Source organism: Homo sapiens, chromosome 2 (genome assembly GCF_000001405.40).
Source record: "Homo sapiens chromosome 2, GRCh38.p14 Primary Assembly".
Taxonomy (NCBI): domain Eukaryota; kingdom Metazoa; phylum Chordata; class Mammalia; order Primates; family Hominidae; genus Homo; species Homo sapiens.
Window position 1 is genome coordinate 85,635,885 of NC_000002.12, and position 17,915 is coordinate 85,653,799.

Sequence of the window (17,915 nt, forward strand, 5' to 3'; positions counted from 1 at the left end):
AGGAGTGCCAGCATTTAATGATAAGATAGAGGAGGATGCACGGCAGTTGGGATGGGATGGCATGGCCAGAGAGGAAGGGGGAGAACCAGGAATGCCAACCAGTGCATGGTTTAAGTTAACTCTAATGCCACTTAGCTTCAACGTTTTCCACCCTTCCTTTTTTTCCAGGAGATGGCGTTGACTTTCTGTCTTGGTTTCTGAATGCTCTGCACTCAGCTCTGGGGGGCACAAAGAAGAAAAAGAAGAGTAAGTCATTTACTTATAAAAAGGAGTTATTTTGTTCCCTTTTAAAAAACTTTGCGGTCGGTCGCAATGGCTCATGCCTATAATCCCAGCTCTTTGAGAGGCCGAGGTGGGTGGATTACCTGAGGTCAGGAGTTTGAGACCGGCCTGGCCAACATGGCGAAACCCCATCTCTACCAAAAATACAAAAGTTATTCAGGTGTGGTGGGATGTGCCTGTAGTCCCAGCGACTTGGGAGGCTGAGGCAACTTCCCATTCTTTTGTTAACTGTTTATCTGGGGTAGGCTAGTATCTATGTTATAGATAAACTACATGTTCTTTCTGAATAGGCCCCTCTCCATAGTTTTTGCTAGAATATGGTTATAGTCCCAATGATATTTTATTATATATATATTTTGAGACAGAGTCTTGCTCTGTCACCTAGGCTATGCAGTGGCACGGTCTCAGCTCACTGTAGCCTCCATCTCCCAGGTTCAAGCAGTTCTTCTCCCTCAGTCTCCCAAGGGTAGCTGGGATTACAGGCACCCACTACCACGCCCAGCTGATTTTTGTATTTTTAGTAGAGATGGGATTTCTCCATGTTGGCCAGGCTGGTCTCAAACTCCTGACCTCAGGTGATCTGCCCAAAGTGCTAGGATTATAGATGTGATGGTGTCTTGATGTGGGATTGTGGCCTGTTGCTTTTCCCACTGGATGGCCCTGCCCTCTCTACCAGGTGTCTTCAGCCTGTGTTAACCCTCTGAGCTCTCTAACTTGCGTCTTGGCAGGGTTCTAGAACTTGGTTGTGCTTTCTCTCTTGTTGCTTTGATCCTGTTCTGGCCCATCTCTTAGTCTGTCATTGTCCTCTTGTCTTCATTACAGTTTGGACATTGTCTCCCTTTGAAAGTAGCTTATGGTTATGGGAAGTTCCTTGGCTGTACCTTGTTTTGCTTGTGAATTTTTTTGTAATTCATGTATCACCATTCCTTCATTTTGAACACATTTACCTTTTCTTTTATGGACCAGGCCCTGTGATGGAGGATAAAAAGTTGTCTTAAGAGAAATAAAGTAATTATTTACACAAATAATTATAAAGGTACCCTGGTGGTATATAGTACAAAAGGAAACTTCTGTGTTTAGTGAGAGCTCTGTGTCTTTTGCTGGAAGATGCTGGTTTATTTCAGAAATTTAGAAGCTGGAAATATACTTCAGACATGTTTTCCATCCTCACGGAATTTGTCTCTTGCTTCCTGTTTGTGCAGCTATTGTGACTGATGTTTTCCAGGGGTCCATGAGGATCTTCACTAAAAAGCTTCCCCATCCTGATCTGGTGAGTTAATTGAGCCTGGGTCTTGGACTGATTCATATTGCTTGAGGGGACGTAGGGGAGATGAAGAGATGCTCAGAGAACTGACAAGCCTGCTTGCCCTGTGAAGAGGTTCAACAAAGCACCTGCCTAGTGGCAGCTCTGCCTGGTCCCTGTCATACTAGTGCACTTTTTCAGTTTGGGAGTTAGTGGTTGGATGTACTGTGCTGGTTTAAGTGTTCTGGCCACTAGGTGGTGCTGCTGTGTTTTTTCAGAAAGCTCAGCTAAGCTTTCTTTTTGTTTTTCTTAGTCTCCCTCTGTCGCCAAGGCTGGAGTTGCAGTGGCGCCATCTCAGCTCACTGCAACCTCTACCTCCTGGGTTCAAGCGATTCTCCTGCCTTAGCCTCCTGAGTGGCTGTGATTACAGGCGCTTGCCACCACGCCCAGCTAATTTTGTATTTTTAGTTGTGACGGGGCTTCACCATGTTGGTCCAGGCTGGTCTCGAACTCCTGACCTCAGGTGATCTACCTGCCTCGGCCTCCCAAAGTGCTGGGATTACAGGCGTGAGTCACCGTGCCTGGCCCTCAGCTAAGCTTCCTAGATGGTCTTAGAGCTTTTCTTTTTTGAGATGGAGTTTTGCTCTTGTTGACCAGTCTGGAGTGCAATGGCATGATCTCAGCTCACTGCAACCTCCACCTCCCAGGTTCAAACCATTCTCCTGCCTCAGCCTCCGAAGTAGCTGGGATTACAGGCATGCGCCACTATGCCTGGCTAATTTTTCTATTTTTAGTAGAGAAGAGGTTTTACCATGTTGGTCAGGATGGTCTCAAACTCCTGACCTTAGGTGATCCACCTCCCTTGGCCTCCCAAAGTGCTGGGATTACAGACATGAGCCACCGTGCTCGGCCCACTTTCTTTTTTTAATGGATTTTTTTTCCTTTTTGAGACAAGATCTCTGTCACTCAGGCTGAGTGTGGTGGCGTGATTATGGTTCACTGCAACCTCAACCTCCCTTGCTGAAGTGATCCTCCCACCTCAACCTCCCCAGAAACTGGGACCATAGATACACACCACCACACCGGGCTAATTTTTATTTTTATTTTTGTTTAATTTAATTAATTAATTAATTTATTTATTTTATTGAGACGGAGTTTCACTCTTGTTGCCCAGGCTGGAGTGCAATGGCACTATCTCGGCTCACCGCAACCTCCGCCTCCCGAGTTCAGGTGATTCTCCTGCCTCAGCCTCCCGAGTAGCTAGGATTACAGGCGCCACCACCACGCCCGGCTTATTTTGTATTTTTAGTAGAGACGGGGTTTCTCCGTGTTGGTCACGTTGGTCTTGGACTCCTGACCTCAGGTGATCTACCTGCCTCGGCCTCCCAAAGTGCTGGGATTACAGGTGTGAGCCATCATGCCCGGCCAATTTTTTTTTTTTTTTGTAGAGATGGAGTCTCACTGTGTTGCCCAGGCTGGTCTGGAAGTCCTGGACTCAAGCAGTCCTCTCACCTTTGTTCCCAAAGTGTTGAGATTACAGCCGTGAGCCATCACACTTGGCCTCAGGGCTTTTTAGATAGTCTGGTATATAAGCAAAATATCTTTAAAGAAGGAAACCTGTTGGTTCTTAAGTTAATCTAACCAGGTGGTGCATGCCAAACTGCCCAATCTCTCGGGCACTTCTCTTTGTTCTTTCAGATGAAGGAAATGTCGGCGTGGTAAAACATCGGTTCTGTGTTGGTTCCTATACCCGTCACACTCCTTTCCTCTCTTTTCTTCTCATTCATTTCTAGCCAGCAGAAGAAAAAGAGCAGTTGCTCCATAATGACGAGTACCAGGAGACAATGGTGGAGTCCACTTTTATGTACCTGACGCTGGACCTTCCTACTGCCCCCCTCTACAAGGACGAGAAGGAGCAGCTCATCATTCCCCAAGTGCCACTCTTCAACATCCTGGCTAAGTTCAATGGCATCACTGAGAAGGTAGCCCATTAACACACCTGCCCTGCCTATACTTACCCTCGCTCTCTCGACTTTTTCATTTTCTTTTTTTTTTTTTTTTCAAGACAGAGTTTTGCTCTTGTCGCCCAGGCTGGAGTGCAGTGGCGTGATTTCGGCTGACTGCAATCTCTACCTCCCAGTTTCAAGCGATTCTCCTGCCTCAGCCTTCCTAGTAGCTGGGATTACAGACATCCGCCACCATGACTGGCTAATTTTTTATATTTTTAGTAGAGACAGCATGTTGGCCAGGTTGGTCTCGAACTCTTGACCTCAAGTGATCAGCCTGCCTCGCCTCCCAAAGTGCTGGGATTACAGGCGTGGGCCACCACACCTGGCCCATTTTCATTTTATATGTAAGAATCACCACATGTATGTGACGTATTTATTATAAATTATATTGACTTTATTGAGCCTCCCAGACTCGTTGGTATTTCTCACTGGTCACCCCCAACTCTTAACTTATAGTGCCCCTTTTTATTATTTTTTGAGACAGGGTCTAGCTTTATCACCTAGTCTGGGTGATCATGGTGGCGTGATCATGGCTCACTGCAGCCTCAAACTCCTGGGCTCAAGTGATCCTCTCACCTCAGCATCCTAAGTAGCTGGGACTAGACACACTCCACCACATCCAACTAAGTATTTTTGTAGAGAGAGTGCTCACTTTGTTGCCCAGGCCATTCTTTAACTCCTGGCCTCAAGGGATCCTCCCACCTCGACCTCCCAAAGTGTTGGGATTACAGATGTGAACCACTGCCCAACCACAGTGCCCCCTCTTGTACTTCTCATATATCCTGTTTTCAGCTTTCTGCCTGCCTCTGGGGTAGTATAGAGAAAGGAAGGTCATTTAGGAGAGGAGAAACTCCAAAAAGTGGGGAGACATACTTTTTTTTTTTTTTTGAGATGGAGTCTCACTCTGTTGCCTAGGCTGGAGTGCAGTGGTGTGATCTCAGCTCACTGCAACCTCCACCTCCCGGGTTCAAGCGATTCTTCTGCCTCAGCCTCCCGAGTAGCTGGGACTACAGGTACATGCCACCATGCCCAGCTAATGTTTGTATTTTTAGTAGAGATGCGGTTTCACCCTGTTGGCCAGGCTGGTCTCGATCTCCTGGCCTCAAGTGATCTGCCTGCCTCAGCCTCTCAAAGTGTTGGGATTACAGGCATGAGCCACCGTGCCTGGTTAGTTTTCTTTCTTTACATATATATATATATATTTTTTTTTTCTTTTTTTTTCTTTTTCCTTTTTAGTAGAGATGGGGTTTCACCATGTTGTCAAGGCTGGTCTCGAACTCCTGTGCTGAAATGATCCCCCTGCCTCGGCCTCCTACAGTGATAGGATTATAGGTGTGAGCCACCAGGCCCGGCCTTTTTTTTTTTTTTTTTTTTTAAATCAGCCTTAGCCAAACTGCACATCCTAAGCCTCATACATAATTTCTCGGACCAGGAGTCTTGTGAACTTAAGTGTGAGGCAAAATTATATTTTAAAAAATCGAAATGAAAAACTCATGCCCCTGCTCTAATACTACTGAACTTCAGCACTAATTTGAGAATTTTCTTTTCTTTCTCTAGGAATATAAGACTTACAAGGAGAACTTTCTGAAGCGCTTCCAGCTTACCAAGTTGCCTCCATATCTAATCTTTTGTATCAAGAGATTCACTAAGAACAACTTCTTTGTTGAGAAGAATCCAACTATTGTCAATTTCCCTATTACGTAAGTAACATCCTGCCTCACTTCTCTCACGGGGAGTGAACCTGGATTTCTTCTCTTGTATTTTTACCAGTATTAATTTTGGACTGTCTTAGTTGGGGATTACAAGGAACAGAGCCTACCTACAGTAGATAAGAGTTTTTATTGGAAGGATACACTTATTTCAGGGACCACAAAAGATTGATGTTTATTGGGATGCAATCCCTATTTTATCTTCTCTCCTGTTGCTAGCTGGAAATTATAGTCTTCCTGCGTAGAGAAGAAGAAATGATGCAAGTAGGATAAGACAGGTAGGATTCTGCCTGGTTTGGAAGATGTCCTGAGTAGTGAGGGTCTGCCCATCTATTTGCTGGCCATCACACCTTTTTGCACACTAGAGTTGTACTAGATGCTTTTAGTTTGCTTCCTTCCAACTCAGAAAACTTCTGCAAGATCCTTTTTGGGGGTAGACTGTTGGTTTTCAGTTCTCAAGAGACAAGGTTTTTCATACTTAAGAAGATGTTTGGCTGGGCGTGGTGGCTCACGCCTGTAATCCCAGCACTTTGGGAGGCCAAGGCAGCTGGATCGCTTGAGCTCAGGAGTTCAAGACCAGCCTAGGCAACATGGCAAAACCCCATCTCTACAAAAAAATACAAAAAATTAGCCAGATGTGGTGGTGCACACCTGCAGTCCTAGGTACTTGAGGGGCTGAGGCAGGAGGATGGCTAGAACCTTGGAGATTGAGGCTGCAGTGAGCTGAGATGGTGTCACTGCCCTCCAGCCTGGGTCTGGGTGACAGAGTGTGACTGTGCTAAAAAAAAAAAAAAAAAAAAAAGAAAGAAAGAAAGAAAATAGTGTCAGTTTTAAATTCCATGTAGTGTTTAAGAAAGTAGTATCTAAAATTAAGAGGCCTGAGTTTTAGGCTGTCTTAGTGGTGGGACCTCAGACCCATAGTTTGCGTGTTTTCTGGATATGTTCTCTCATAGATAAAATGAGAGGCTTGGAGTAGATGGGCCTGAGCCCTAGGGGTTTGTCCAGGTGTAACATCTTATTATAGTATTGCCAGGACTCTTAGAATCATGGAGGGTGAGGAGAGAGAACATTTGCAGTTGAGAATTACAGGGGAATTTCTTTTTCTCTTTTTCTACACTTTTCTCCACTAGCATCTTGTTTGTGACTAGAATTAAATGGGGGGACATGGAGGTTTGTTCTCTGCCTCCTTGAGTAGGATGACAGAGGTGCTTTCTTCGAAAGTCTGTGTGTCAAAGTTTTATTTCAGCACTAGCCTCTTGTGAATTGCCAGTCACCTGTCTGTTCCTGGTAGGTAGGGGCAGTCTGGATTCCAAGGGCAACTCCAGAGGGAGGAAGATTGTGTATCAATGGTACTTCCTGCTCAGTTGCCACAGAAATTTCCTTGCCCCATTGGTTTCTTTTATGGGCCTAGAGTAGGCCCAATATAAAAGTTTGTCCTTCAGAAAGCTTACTTCGGAGAAGTTGAGAAAAAGATTGTTTCTTAACTACGCAGTCTTTTAGAGAACATCAAATTGTGACTAATTCTGGAAACTTGCACTTTAATTATTTTATGTGCTGTAATTACTTCGAGTAATACAATTCTGGATCATTTCATTGTCCATACTTCTTGAAAAGGATCTTTTTCATACCTGTCTTCTCCTATGTTTTATTCATAACACATCCTGTTTTTGTCGGAGAGTTATCAGACTTATGGTGATTAGGCACCCTCTGCTTATTTGGAGATAGAGATTTTTGAGGGCAGGTTTAAAGTTTCACTTTCAGGTAATTAGCCATTCTCTTAACTGGTCTGTTGCTGTGGTTGGGAGATGAGTATAGTTTGCTCTTTTAGGCTGGGCGCAGTGGCTCACATCTGTAATGTCATCACTTTGGGAGGCCGAGGTGGGAGAATTGCTTGAGCTCAGGAGTTTGAGACCTGCCTGGACAACATAGCAAGACCTTGTCTCTACTAAAAAAAAAAAAAAAATGAATAGTTTGCTCCTTTTCCTATTTACTAACACAAAATGATTAAACGTAGTATTTCTCTTTTGCCGCATGGACAGTTTTGGTTCAGTCATGAAATCTTGAGTATAAAGACTTCTCCAAACCAGGCACGGTGGCTCACACCTGTAATCCCAGCCCTTTGGGAGGCCAAGGCGGGCGGATCACGAGGTCAGGAGATCGAGACCATCCTGGCTAACACGGTGAAACCCCGTCTCTACTAAAAATTCAAAAAATTAGCCAGGCATGGTGGTGGGCGCCTGTAGTCCCAGCTACTCGGGAGGCTGAGACAGGAGAATGGCGTGAACCCAGGAAGCAGAGCTTGCAGTGAATTGAGATAGCTAGCGCCATTGCACTCCAGTCTGGGCGACAGAGCGAGACTCTGTCTCAAAAAAAAAAAAGACTTCTTCACTGATACTCATTCAGACAAGTCTAGTCAGCTTTTGTTCAGGCTGAAGAGAAAATAAAATGAGAAGTCAGCCTTTAGTAGCAGGAAGGCAGGTTGGCTGACTAGAGCTCACATGGACTCAGGACTCATATCTCCTTTTTTTTTTTTTTTTGGAGATGGAGTCTCGCTCTGTTGCCCAGGCTGGAGTGCGGTGGCGTTATCTCGGCTCACTGCAACCTTCGCCTCCTGGGTTCAAGCAATTCTCCTGCCTCAGCCTCCGGAATAGGTGGGACTACAGGTGCACGCCGCCACGCCCAGCTAATTTTTTTTTTTGTACTTTAGTAAAGGCAGGGTTTCACGATGTTACCCAGGCTGGTTTCGAACTCCTGAGCTCAGGCAGTCTGCCCGCCTCGGCCTCCCAAAGTGTTGGGATTACAGGCATGAGCCACCGCACCTGGCTTCCATTTTCTTAACAGTGAATATTTATTGCAGTCTGACTGCATCATATATGGGACACTGTCAGTCTGTAGAAACAAATAGCTGTCACCAATACATAGAAAGCTACATATAATAATTACAACAAAGTTGTATGTTTGTTTATTACCACATGGTTTACATTTTAAACTCTGTAATTTTGAACAGTTAATATGTTCACAGTCTAACTTCAAAGGGAGATATATAACTGGACGTGACCACCATTAGCTGTTTCTTGTGAACTCTTCCAGTGATAACATGGTTTTGTTTCATGTAATGAGTGGTAGCACATCAGACAACTTTTATGATGCAATGTCTTTTTTTTTATTTTACCTTGTATTGTGTAAGTTTTTATAAATATTTGTAGACTCCAAAATGATATATTTTTCCTAAAATTATGTATTTAATCTTAATATTCTTGTTAACTGTCTATATATTTTCCTTTTTAACTATTTGAAAGTTCTTCTTCCTTTTGGGGGTTTTTTGAGACAGGGTCTCACTGTCGCCCAGGCTGGAGTGCAATAGTGTGGTCCTGGCTCACTTTAGCCGTAATCTCCTGGGCTCAAGTGATCCTCTCACCTCAGCCTCCTGAGTAGCTAGGACCACATGCATGTACCACCATGCCTGGCTAATTTTTTTTTTGTAGGGGTCTCACTACATTGCCCAGGCTGGCCTTGAACTCCTGGGCTCAAGCAGTCCTCCTACCTTGACCTCTCAAAGTGTTGGGATTATAGGTATGAGCCACTGCCTGTCATTCTTTTTTTTTTTTTTAAATCATATGGGAAGCTGTGTAACCCTGTCATTCATTTTGGCATATTTTGTGAATTCCAACGCACCTGGACCTTCTTGACTCTGCAAGCCTACCCAGAGAAAGGGTCCTAAAATAGGGCTGAACAATTTTGTGGTCCGTTTGTGTAGGACAGTTTCCTTAACCTCACAGCCTTTGTCTGATTATTCCGGCTTTATTTTAACCATTAACAGAAATGTGGATCTGAGAGAATACTTGTCTGAAGAAGTACAAGCAGTACACAAGAATACCACCTATGACCTCATTGCCAACATCGTGCATGACGGCAAGCCCTCCGAGGGCTCCTACCGGATCCACGTGCTTCATCATGTGAGTGGCTGCTGACCGTCTCATGGCACAGAGTGGCAAAAACAGGTGTTTCTTTGGCATCTCAGAGGGCAGCTCCCTTCAGTGTGTCCTTGCTTGGCCTTGGCTTTGGGACTCTGCAAGTAATAGTGCTGTCAGTAGTTAGTTTAAGGCAGTGGTTCTCAATTTTGGCTACACATTGGACTCACCTTGGGAGCTTTTTTTTTTTTTTTTTGAGACAGGGTCTCGCTCTGTAGCCCAGGCTGGAGTGCAGTGGCGTGATCTTGGCTCACTGCAACCTCCGCCTCCTGGGTTCAAGCAGTTCTCTGCCTCAGCCTCCCGAATAGCTGGGATTATGGGATTACAGGCGCCCATCACCACGCCCGGCTAATTTTTGTATTTTTAGTAGAGACGGGGTTTTACGATCTTGGCCAGGCCAGTCTTGAACTCCTGACCTTGTGATCCACCCACCTCGGCCTCCCAAAGTGTTGGGATTACAGGCGTGAGCCACCGCGCCAACCGGGAGCTTTTTAAAATCCCAATGCCTGGCACCACACCAGGCCGGTTATAATAGTAGTTTTCAGCTGGGGCAGAGGCCAGGGATGTTGGTATATATTTTACAACACGAAGGACAGCCCGTGTTACAAAGAATTATCTGACCCTAAACATCAGTCAGCATTAAGGTTAAAGGCTCTCTGTTAGATTGTCTGGAGGTGGATGTCTTTTCTGTTTGATGTCTTTTCTATTTTTCAAGTTAATTGAGATGGGGTTGTGCTATGATGCTCATGCTGGTCTCAAGCAATCCTCCCGCCTCAGCTTCTGAAACTGCTGGGATTACAGGTATGAGCCACCATGCCTGGCTGGCATTTGATGTTTTGAAGTTCCCTGAGAGACCCTGATATGCAGCCAAGGTTGAGAACCTCTGCCCTAGACTAGAGCCTTACCATCCAAAGTGGGATGCATCCTTGGACCAATAACATCAGCATCAGTCTTGTTAGAAATCAGCTTGTTAGAAATGCAGACTCTCAGTCCCCTCAAACCTACCACATCAGAACCTGGATTTTAACGTGACCCTCTGATTTGTAAGAAATTAAAGTTTGCGAAGCACTGGTTTAGAGGCTCCCTTTCATCTTAAAAATGTTGTGGATTTGTCTCAAGTTGAAAACAGATAAAACATGTACTTGAGATATATTTGATATCACATAGATTATTAGCATAAATTGTTCTCATTTGATTAGCCTCTTCTGGAACTGTGGGTTTAATCTTAACTAGCTTCTGTTTATCAAGTGCTTTATTGTGGTTAGGCAGTACGCCAGTTACTTAATGTACATTAATCTCATTTCTTTCATTAAAACACACCTCCAAGACAGATGTCAGTATCATCTTTTTTACAGAGGAGGAGACCTAGGCTCAGAGTTTCAGTAATTGACCTCAAGTCAGTAGAATTAGGATTTGACCCAGGTACTCTGCTTCAAAGCCCATGTTCTTAACTCGTCCTTGAAGCAGGAATGGGAACTTACTTATGTGATCCTGAGCTTTCCTTATGTTTCCTATATTCTCAACTATTGTAATATCCAGAGGATCTGGAATATTTATATTCTACAATAATGGTCTTTGGTATTTCTTAGAACTTTGGTTGGATAAGACAGGTGGGCGGCCAGAGGTGCCTCTGCCTTAATCTAGAAACATTTTTTCCTTGTTCATGGAAGCATGAAGTGAGATACGTTTTGCTGTATTTGTAGCACTGGTTTCTTAGGCCAAAGGAATCAGGTTAGTGTGATAGACAGTGTCCACCAAGGACACCTTTTCTTGATGACCTGTTGCTTTTTTTTTTTTTTTTTTTTTTAAGACAGAGTCTCACCCTATCACCCAGGATGGAATGCAGTGGCATGATCTTGGCTCACTGCAACCTCCACCTCCTGGGTTCAAGTGATTCTCCTGCCTCAGCCTCCCAAGTAGCTGGGACCTACAGGCACCTGCCACCAGGCCTGGCTAATTTTTGTATTTTTGGTAGAGACGGGGTTTTACTGTGTTGGCCAGGCTGGTCTCAAACTCCTTACCTCAAGTGATCTGCCCACCTCGGCCTCCCAAAATGCTGGGATTACAGGCGTAAGCCCCTGTGCCCAGCCAGGAATGTCCATATTTAGGTTCTCTCAGTGGTTGACACTGTGTACCTCATAAGTGAGAATGTCTAGTCTGTCATTTCTGAGCAGGAAGGAGACATCATAGGTGATGATTAGATGGCTTCCTCTTTTCTCATCTTTAGTGTCCACTAAATTCCTTTTAAAAAGATGTACAGAAGTGTTTCAGACTCCATTGTACTTCAAGGGGCCAGGCGCAGTGGCTCATACCCATAATCCTAGCACTTTAGGAGGCTGAGGCGGGAGGATCTTTTGAGACCAGGAGTTAGCCTGGGCAACACAGTGGGACCCCATTGCTATTAAAAAAAAAATTAGCCAGTTTTAGTGGCACACACCTGTAGTTCCAGCTACCTGGGAGGCTGAGGGGAGGATCGCTTGAATCCAGAGGGTCAAGGCTGCAGTGAGCTGTGATTACACCACTGTAGTCCAGCCTGGGTGACAGAGTGAGACCCTGTCTCAAAAAAAAAAAAAAACAAAAAAACAACAAACAAAAAACAGTGCTTTAAAAAAATTCCCAACAGGAATTGAGTTTGCCATGATTGACACACCAAAAGTCCTATTAATTGAATCATGGCCAGAAGAAGTCATGTACCCTCTTCTTTATGACTGTTGCTGGATGATGTCTAGTGGCTGTTCTTCTAATTTTTCTAGTCTTGGCTATGATCCTTTCCTTCTACACCCTTTTGGTTTTAGAGAGCAGACTAACCCAGCTCTTCATACTTTCTGCAGGGGACAGGCAAATGGTATGAATTACAAGACCTCCAGGTGACTGACATCCTTCCCCAGATGATCACACTGTCAGAGGCTTACATTCAGGTGGGTTGGCCACAGGCTTAGTGAGCCACAAATAGGTGGCGTATGGGGCCAGTGAGAGGAGTGGGCCAAGGCAGGAAGAGGGATAGAGTTAGGACCTTGGTTGGAGGGCCAGGTACCTATTGGGAAGTACTTAGTAGTGAGTTGGGGGCAGAATGTATGGCCCTGAAAGTCAAGCAGAGATTTTCAGAAAAGAAGTATAAGGAAGTGTAGAAAATGTATGAGTGAGCAAAGAAAGTTGCGATTATGGCCAGGTTAGTTTTGCAGAAGTGTGCGGTCTGGTTTCGAGGAGGAAGAACCTAGACTCATCAGGGAGGCTGGCTAGAAGTCGACCACGAAGTGCTCCCCAGAGCCCCAGGCAGCTTTGTGACCCCACAGCGCTTTCTACTTGACGTTTGTTTTAGTGCCGGCCATATCGCTTTGCCTGTCTGTCCTCTCCATTGGATTGACCCATGGAGCACAGAGCATCTCTGTCTTCTCTTTATGTAACTGCCCTAGTACCTGGCAAAAGAAGGAAGATTGAGACAAAAGCCATAGCTTTGTAAGAAGAAAGTGATACCTCTCCTTCTAGAGATAACTTTTTTCTCCTCAGTGGCTGTAGCCACTGTAGCAGATTTCCAAATGGGGTATAGCAGATTTGTAAATGGGGTGACAAGTTGTCCATGGCCTGGCACAGAATAGGTATTTGATAAGTGTCTGTTGACTGAATGCCTCCTAGACTTCAGTTTGTGTTTTCATTTCTTACAGATTTGGAAGAGGCGAGATAATGATGAAACCAACCAGCAGGGGGCTTGAAGGAGGCGTCTAGGGCTTTGCTCCCAAGGGCTGTGGCTGATGATGGTAAATAAGAACACAGAAGCTGTAGCTGAACACAGGCTGGCTGGTGGGCTTCCTAGGCCAGCCCAGCTTGTATGGGTTCTGGCTACACCAGAGCACCAAGAGCCCACTTGCCTGGGATGGCCCCACACTGTCACTCAGCTGTTCTTTGATCATTTTTTTCTAGATTGATGCTCCTTTCTCCCATGCATTGAGCTCCCATCTAGCTTCAGCAGGGCAGAACCCTTCTCCAGATGTGTGTAACTTATGTCTTGAGTATCTGGGAGTAGTTGAAGAACAGATAATTCCTTCCAAACATCAAGCCTTGGGATTCTTGGAGCAAGCAGAAAGCCAGTAACTTCGCTCTGTTAGAGGTGGAGGATTTTCCTATGGTTCCCCCCATTTCCTGATTTGTATTTTTAGATGGATTAAATAGTCTCCTGTTTTTAAACCAGCCTCTTGTTTTATATCTTTTCCTTTGGTGGTTGGCTGAGGAAAATATTTTCCTTTTTAATCTTCACAAACTCTCTACCCTACAGTCTGACATCTGGTGCACATCACGCTCGCCCTTTCCTGTCAGCTTGTGGGTGGTGTGTCAGTTAGGATGCATTTGTTTCTAAGTAAAAAAATACCTGAGTCAAGGGGATACATTATTATTGTGCTTAACTAGAGGGCCAGAGGTGGGCAGTTTCCAGCTGCAGTGCAGGAATGAGTAAGGGAAGAGGAAAAAAAGGAAATAGGAAGCGCTTCTCACTACAGTGCAATTCTGAGGTGGTCTCAGCCAGTCCAGTGTGGAGCCCCAGGGCAAAGATTCCGTCAGACAATTCAGCAGAAATGGCTCCCATCAAGCTCAGTCGTGGGCTCTAGCAGCCTAGAAGAAGGGTGGCCTTGGCATGAGCACTGTGGCAGGTCCAAAGATATGGGAAGCAGCTGGAGGCAGCCAGTCAGCCCCAGCAAGTTCTGTTGAATGGAGACAGGAGCCCCGCACTCCTGTGGTGCCACCCTTTACCTGGTCACAACCTTGTCCTCACTTTCCTCTACCTCTCTGGAAGCTCCAGTATTTCCTTAGGAGGCTTATCTCTTCTATCCAGCCATTAAATTTGGGTTTTCTCAAGATTCAGTCCTAGCGTCACTCTTCTTGCTGTTTACTTTTTCCCTAGGCCATTTCAGCTATGCATTTTTATGGAAATGACTCATAAACACATCTTAATCCCAGATTTTTCTAAACTCTTGAACTTCGCTCTGTTGCCCAGGCTGGAATGCAGTGGCACAATCTTGGCTCACTGCAACCTCCACCTCCCAGGGTCAAGTGATTTCCGGCTAATTTTTTTATTTTATTTTATTTTATTTATTTTATTTTATTTTTTAATTTTAATTTTTATTTTAGAGATGGAGTCTTGCTCTGTCGCCCAGGCTAGAGTGCAGTGGCATGATCTCAGCTCACTGCAACCTCTGCCTCCTGGGTTCAAGTGATTCTCCTGCCTCAGCCTCCTGAATAGCTGGGATTATAGGCGACCACCACCGTGCCCAGCTAATTTTTGTATTTTTAGTAGAGACGGGGTTTCATCATGTTGGCCAGGCTGGTCTCGAACTCCTGACCTCAAGTGATCCACCCGCCTCGGCCTCCCAAAGTGTTGGGATTACAGGCGTGAGCCATGGTGCCCAGCCCTATTTTTGGGTGTTTTAAAGTAAACTCAAACTTAACATTGTTTAGAACTGAGCTTGCCAGGTGTGGTGGCTCCTGCCTGTAATCCTAACACTTCGGGAGGCTGAGGTGGAAGAATTGTTTGTGGCCAGGAGTTCAAGACCAGCCTGGCCAACATAGCAAGACCCTATTAGCCGGGCATGGTGGTGTGTGCCTGTAGTTCCACCTATCTGGGAGGCTGAGGCAGGAAGGTCCTTTGAGCGCAGGATTTGAGGCTGCAGTGAACCATGATTGCACCACTGCACTCCAGCCTGGGCAACAGAGCAAGACCTTGTCATTACAAAAAAGAAAAAAAATTGAGCTTGTGAGTTTCCCTTTTTTTTTTTTTGAGATGGAGTCTCACTCTTGTCCAGGCTGGAGTGCAGTGGTGTGATCTCAGCTCACTGCCGACCTCTGCCTCTCAGGCTCGAGTGATTCTCCTGCCACAGCCTTCCGAGTAGGTGGGACTACAGGTGTGCGCCCCACACCCGGCTAATTTTTGTATTTTTAGTAGAGATGGGGTTTCACCATGTTGGTCAGGCTGGTCTTGAACTCCTGACCTCAGGTGATCTGCTGACCTTGGCCTCCCAAAGTGTTGGGATTACAGGCATGAGCCACTGTGCCCTGCCATGAGTTTCTCTTTCAAACTTGGCTATTTTTGAGGTGAAGATTACACTATCCAGTTAGAGAAATTCATGTATAATAATCTGTTCAGGGAAAGTTTAATTTCAATAATTATTAACTACAACGGGTTTGTAGAAACGGGATTAGTTAGTAACAAGTAAAGTAAAGAATGTAGGAATAACAGATACAAAGAGCTGCCACTAGTTCTGGGGCTGACAGTGTCCAAAGCTGAGATCCAGACCTTGCTAAAAATATGCCCTCTGAACCTCGTTAAAAATCTGCTTTGTAGTGTACTCAGGAAAGCCATTCACAGGTGTCTCCCTGGAGGCCTCTGCTATAAAACTGTCCAGGGAGGAGAGTGCCAGGTGGAGCTACTGGGTGCCTGTGCTGCTCAAATGTATATGTGGTCTCCAAAAGCCAAGAAAAACCTATCAAACATTGTGCGTGCGTGCGTGCGTGTGTGTGTGTGTGGTGGTATGAGGTACAGCCACCTGTCTTGGAGAGGATATTTTGACATAACTCTATACTGTTGACTTCCGAGAAATGTCTCTGAGGTGGCAGGCCCCTGAATTGTTTGTTTGTTTGTTTGTTTTGTTTTTTTCTGAGAACGGAGTCTCGCTCTGTCGCCCAGGCTGGAGTGCAGTGGTGCGATCTCGGCTCACTGCAAGCTCCACCTCCCGGGTTCACGCCATTCTCCTGCCTCAGCCTCCTGAGTAGCTGGGACTACAGGCGCCTGCTACCACGCCTGGCTATTTTTTTGTATTTTTAGTAGAGACGGGGGTTCACCGTGTTATCCAGGATGGTCTCAATCTCCTGACCTCGTGATCCGCCCGCCTTGGCCTCCCAAAGTGCTGGGATTACAGGCGTGAGCCACCGTGCCTGGTTCCCTGACTTGTTTTTGGGTTTAACTCCCAACTTCTTATTTATGTCTTACTAAGGCATCTAAAGCGCTTGGTACTTTCTGCTCATCAGATCCAACAGCATAGTGTCATCACTGTAGTGGACTAGTGTGATATTTTGTGGATTGTCAAGATGATCAAGATCTCTGTGAACTGTATTATGCTAGAGAGCAGAACTGACATAGTCCTGAGGTAACACTGTGAAGGTATACTGTTGGCCCTGCCAGGTAAAAGCAAACTACTTCTGGTGATCCTTATAAATTGGTATGGAGAAATACCAATTTGATTCTAACTTGGTAGCTCCATACCAAGTGCCAAGAGCTGTTGTGTATGAGTAAAGATGCTACATCTGGCCCCAGGCGTGGTAGCTTACAGATGTAATCCCAGCAGTTTGGGAAGCCAAGGCAGGAGGATTGCTTGAGCCCAGGAGTTCAAGACCAGCCTGGGCAACAAAGTGAGACCCCATCCCTCAAAAAAAAAAAATTAGCCAGGAGTGGTGGCATGCACCTGTGGTCCCAGCTACATGGGAGGCAGGAGGATCACTTGAGTCAAGGCTGCAGTGAGCTGAGTTTGAGCTCTGGGTGACAGAGCAAGACAGTCTCAAAAAAAAAAAAAAAAAAAGATACATCTGGGACAGCAGCTTCAGCTGGAGTCACTCTGATTAAGTTTACGATAGTCCACGGTCGTTCTCCAAGATCCATCAGACTTCTGTACTGGCCCTTTGCCACTATCATTTTAGTTTAAGCTATTGCCAGTTTCTGTTTGCAGTGCTCTCAATAGGTCTCTCCACATTTCTTTGCCTCCTACCCCCAGTTTATCCATGCTTTAGTCAGAGTAATCTTTTAAAACACAAACCTGAGTCATTTCTCCCCCATACTCTGATCTCATGCTTAAAGACACTTCACTGGCTCTTAGGATAGCAAGTGAAATCCTCAGCTGCTAGCCTAATTTATCAGGAAGTTTCTACTTTTTTTTTTTTTTTTTTTTTTTTTTTTTTGAGACAGGGTCTGGCACTGTCGCCCAGGCTGGAGTGTAGTGGCATGATCTTGGCTCACTGCAATCTCCGCCTCCTGGGCTCAAGCCATCCTCCCACCTCAGCCTCCTGAGTAGCTGGGCCCACAGGCTTGCACCACTACACTGGGCTAATTGTTTTGATTTTTTTTGTAGTGGTGGTGTTTCACCATGTTGCCCAGGCTGGCCTCAAACTTCTGAGCTCAAGTGATCTGCCCGCCTCGGCCTCCTAAAGTACTGGGATTACAGGCATGAGCCACCACGCCTGGCCCCTGCTTGTTCTTGAGCCTAGGCTCGCTGAGCTTCATTCTATTGCTCAGATGTACCACATGACATGAGGCCTCTGTACTATCTGCTTCCTCTGTGAGGGATGCTCGTTCTTTCCCTTTTAATTCTTTCTCCTCCATGACCTCTCATACCCTTAATACCCTGTGTATCTCTAATTGATAGCCCTTATTGCACCTGAAAAATTTGTTTTTTCTGTGATTCTTTGATTAAGGCCTATTTTTCCAACTAAACTCTCAAGTTCCAAAGGATAGATAGAAACTTTTGTGCCCAGCCCTTGGGAAATGCTTGGCACTTAGAAGTCAATCACCCATTTATTTATTTATTTATTTTTTTGAGACGGACGGAGTTTTGCTCTTATTGCCCAGGCTGGAGTGCAATGGCATGATCTCAGCTCACCGCAACCCCTGCCTCCTGGGTTCAAGCAATTCTGCCTCAGCTTCCTGGGTAGCTGGGATTACAGGCAT

At 45.4% G+C, this 17,915-nt stretch overlaps 1 protein-coding gene across 9 annotated transcripts in view; it reads left to right on the top strand.

Annotated features, from left to right (window-relative positions):
• The window catches only part of USP39 (ubiquitin specific peptidase 39), a 46,423-nt gene extending 33,024 nt beyond the window's left edge, over window positions 1-13,399 (top strand). For 5 of the 9 annotated variants that reach the window (NR_046347.2, XM_006711922.3, NM_001256727.2 and 2 more), the window contains 7 exons: window positions 169-246; window positions 1,485-1,552; window positions 3,319-3,507; window positions 5,092-5,234; window positions 9,064-9,199; window positions 12,046-12,132; window positions 12,877-13,399. Coding sequence is in view for 8 of the 9 variants with exons in the window: in XM_006711922.3 (XP_006711985.1) it covers window positions 169-246; window positions 1,485-1,552; window positions 3,319-3,507; window positions 5,092-5,234; window positions 9,064-9,199; window positions 12,046-12,132; window positions 12,877-12,924 (749 nt within the window). In the remaining variant the exon portion in view is untranslated. Of the gene's footprint in view, window positions 1-168; window positions 247-1,484; window positions 1,553-3,318; window positions 3,508-5,091; window positions 5,235-9,063; window positions 9,200-9,929; window positions 10,016-12,045; window positions 12,133-12,876 lie in introns of those variants that run through there. The other 4 variants (XM_047442988.1, NM_001256725.2, XM_047442987.1 and 1 more) reach the window with 3 other exon arrangements.
• The last annotated feature ends 4,516 nt before the right edge of the window (window positions 13,400-17,915 follow it).